This window comes from Homo sapiens, chromosome 1, assembly GCF_000001405.40.
Source record: "Homo sapiens chromosome 1, GRCh38.p14 Primary Assembly".
Taxonomy (NCBI): domain Eukaryota; kingdom Metazoa; phylum Chordata; class Mammalia; order Primates; family Hominidae; genus Homo; species Homo sapiens.
This window is the reverse complement of record NC_000001.11, coordinates 74,844,391-74,847,383: the sequence shown is the minus strand read 5'-3', so window position 1 is coordinate 74,847,383 and position 2,993 is coordinate 74,844,391. Positions and strand designations below refer to the sequence as shown.

Genomic DNA, 2,993 nt, shown 5'->3' with positions numbered 1-2,993 from the left:
CTTTTCCTCCTCCCCCCAGCCCATGGTAACCACCAGTCTTCTTTCTGTTTCTATGAATCTAATTACTTTAGATAACTCATATAAGTGGAATCATATAGTATATGCCTTTTTGTGACTGGCTTATTTCATTTGGCATAATGTCTTCATCGTTCATCCATTTTGCAGTATGTACCAGAATTTTCTCCTTTTTAAACACTGAATGATACTCCATTGCATGTATGTACCACATTTTGTTTATTCAATCAATTTTTCATGAATACATGGGTTGCTTCTAGCTTTTGACTATAGCTAATCACTCCACTATGAACATGGGTATACAAAGAATCTCTCTAAATCCCTGCTCTCAATTCTTTTGGGTATATATCCAGAAGTGGAATTGCTCGATCATATGACAGTTTTATTCTTAATTTTAGCACAAACATTTATTTGGTATAATTTAACTTAATATAATGAGAATTTGTTTCCCTGATTGTATGGTCTGTTTCCCAGTATGGCTCAACGAAGGCTATAAAGAGTAGAGAAGATATAAAGTTTTATGGTGAATAAGAAAAACACAGTAGGAACTGATAGGGTTTGGATCTGTGTCCCTGCCCAAATCTCATGTCACATTGTAATCCCCAATGTTGGAGGGCCTGGGAGGTGACTGGGTCATAGGGAAAAAGTTCTCATGAATGGTTTAGCACCATCCCCCGCTTGGTACTGTAGAGCGAATGAGTTGTCGTGAATCTGGTTGTTTAAAAAGTGTATGACACCTCTCCTACTCTCTATCTTCCTCCCACTCTGGCCCTGTGAAGATGCCTGCTCTGGCTTGGCCTTCTGCCATGAGTTAAAGCTCTCCCTTTGCCTTTGCCATTGCCATGATTGCAAGTTTTCTGAGGCCTCCCCAGAAGCCAGACAGATGCCAGCATCATGCTTCCTATGTAGTCTGCAGAACTGTGAGCCAATTAAAACTCTTTTCTTTATAAATTACCCAGTCTCAGGTATTTCTTTATGGCAGTGTGAGAACTGACTAATACAGGAACGTAACAAGAACATATTAAAAATGCTGGATAGAGTTGAACCTTCAGTTTAGGTGGGTGATCAGAAATGAAAGCAATCAAGGTGGGTGCTGCTATTACAATTACAACTACTATTCCTACTACTGCAACTTTACTATAATATAGATTGGCCTTTGAGTTGATAGCTGGGGCATTTTACAGTAAACAGGGAGTCTGTACCACTAAGGACTGTCAAATGTTCTTAATTTAAGGCACATCCTCTAGAATATTCTATTCATATATTTGATCATAAAGAACAATATGGCTGAGAAGTGACTTGTTTATGACTACCCACTGAAAATAGTAGTTAGGATGGCAGCAGGAGTGCAGGCCCTGAGGTTATCTTCATGTGTAGCTTTCTTGAGTTTATTTCTTAAAGTTCAAAGTCATTACAGTAATTCCTCAGCAGGGGATCCATTCATCATTCTTTGTTCTGCAGGGCTAATTACCATCAACACTAATGGGAATTCTGTATTTAACTCAAGAAGCAAACATGGTACTAGTTTCTAAAACAGAACACAAGAATTACTTATCTGCATGCAAATGTTCTCCCAGGTTTTGATGTGAGAGAGAATTCAGTGGGCATTAGAAAAACACTTACATAAATTGTTTCATTGCTTCTGTAGTTATTTATGTTTTTCTAAAATTTAAGAATGCATAAAATGTAAGATAATGTTTACTGAGAAAAGAACAACAATCATGTGGGTGTTTTTTATGTGTGAGGCAGCATGCTTAGCATTTTGCTTATTTACTTTATATGTTATTTATTTATTCTCACAAGAATCTTTAAGTTGTTAGCACCATTTTGAAGGTATGAAAATTAAGAATAGAAAGGATCAGTAGTTTTCCAACACTTGCACAGGTGCTCAATACTGAGCTAAGAACTGTGAGAGCGCGTAAAGAGGGGACTCCTTTTAGGGCCCCATCTGAAAAAATAAATCCATGTCTGTTACCACAGAAGAATGTTATGATAATATGTTCAGTAATAGGCCAGTCTCTACTTCTCAGGGTCCCATCTAGAAAAGTAAATATGTGCCTGATATCAATGGCAATATGTTTACAATGCAGGTCAAGACCTATAATTTTCAGGGCCTAGAGCCCACATACCACACACCTAAATATTTATGTCAGGCTCTCAACCTGTTGAATAAAATATGTACTATATTCCTAGCTTGATAAATATACTTTATAATAAACTTTCAAGTTGGAATTGAATTTAGAATTTTCAAGCATCCCAGAGTTCCATGCCAAAATGTGGCAAAGTGAAGGTTAGGACCTCACCCATAGCTTGCCCCCTTTTTCTTCTTACCCCTGGCTCTGTCTCACTTGACAAAAGGTCTAGCACAGATGTGTGTGAGCACCTCATCCTGAATTTCATCCATAACCCCTACTATCTCACATTCAGCTATCCCCTACTATGCATTTGGGCTGGGGGTACATATATTGATGGTCTGGCCTGCACTTGGATTGATAGGCACTTACATAGATCCTGGAAGTGGGTTTAGAGAATTTGACAGGGATTTCCAGGGTCCCACCTGGAACATTATCTAGAAGTGGAGGCTGAGTGACACATCTTCTTGGTTCCATGGAAGCCTCACCCTGTGAAGAAAGAAATGGTCTTTGGAGGGCCAAGTCCAGGCCCTTTAAAGTATGGGGTGAAGTGCAGGTGTCCTAAGCAGTCAACCTCAGAGAGAATTAGAGTATCAACAGAGAGGTCCAGACTTTTCTAGTATAGTAATTGCCATCTGAGTAAATGACATCACCTTTTTAACAGTTACCCAGGCCAAAACCCTTGAAGCCATTCTTTCTCTCTTTTTCTCATACATCACATCCAATTCCTTAGAGCAAACCTGTCATCACTATCTCCAAAAGGTATCCAGACTCCTCTTCAGCATCCCCAATGTTGCCACACTGGTCAAAGCCACCATCATCTCTCCTGAATGAATCAGTCTCTGT

General features: G+C 39.1%; 1 annotated feature.

The window, feature by feature from the left end:
- Positions 1,211–1,712: an enhancer, noted in NCBI's record as "NANOG hESC enhancer chr1:75311356-75311857 (GRCh37/hg19 assembly coordinates)". NCBI's record gives its function as "activates a minimal SCP1, AML or CMV promoter by ChIP-STARR-seq in naive H9 embryonic stem cells {active_cell/tissue: H9 hESC(naive)}" and the evidence as "EXISTENCE:reporter gene assay evidence [ECO:0000049][PMID:30033119]".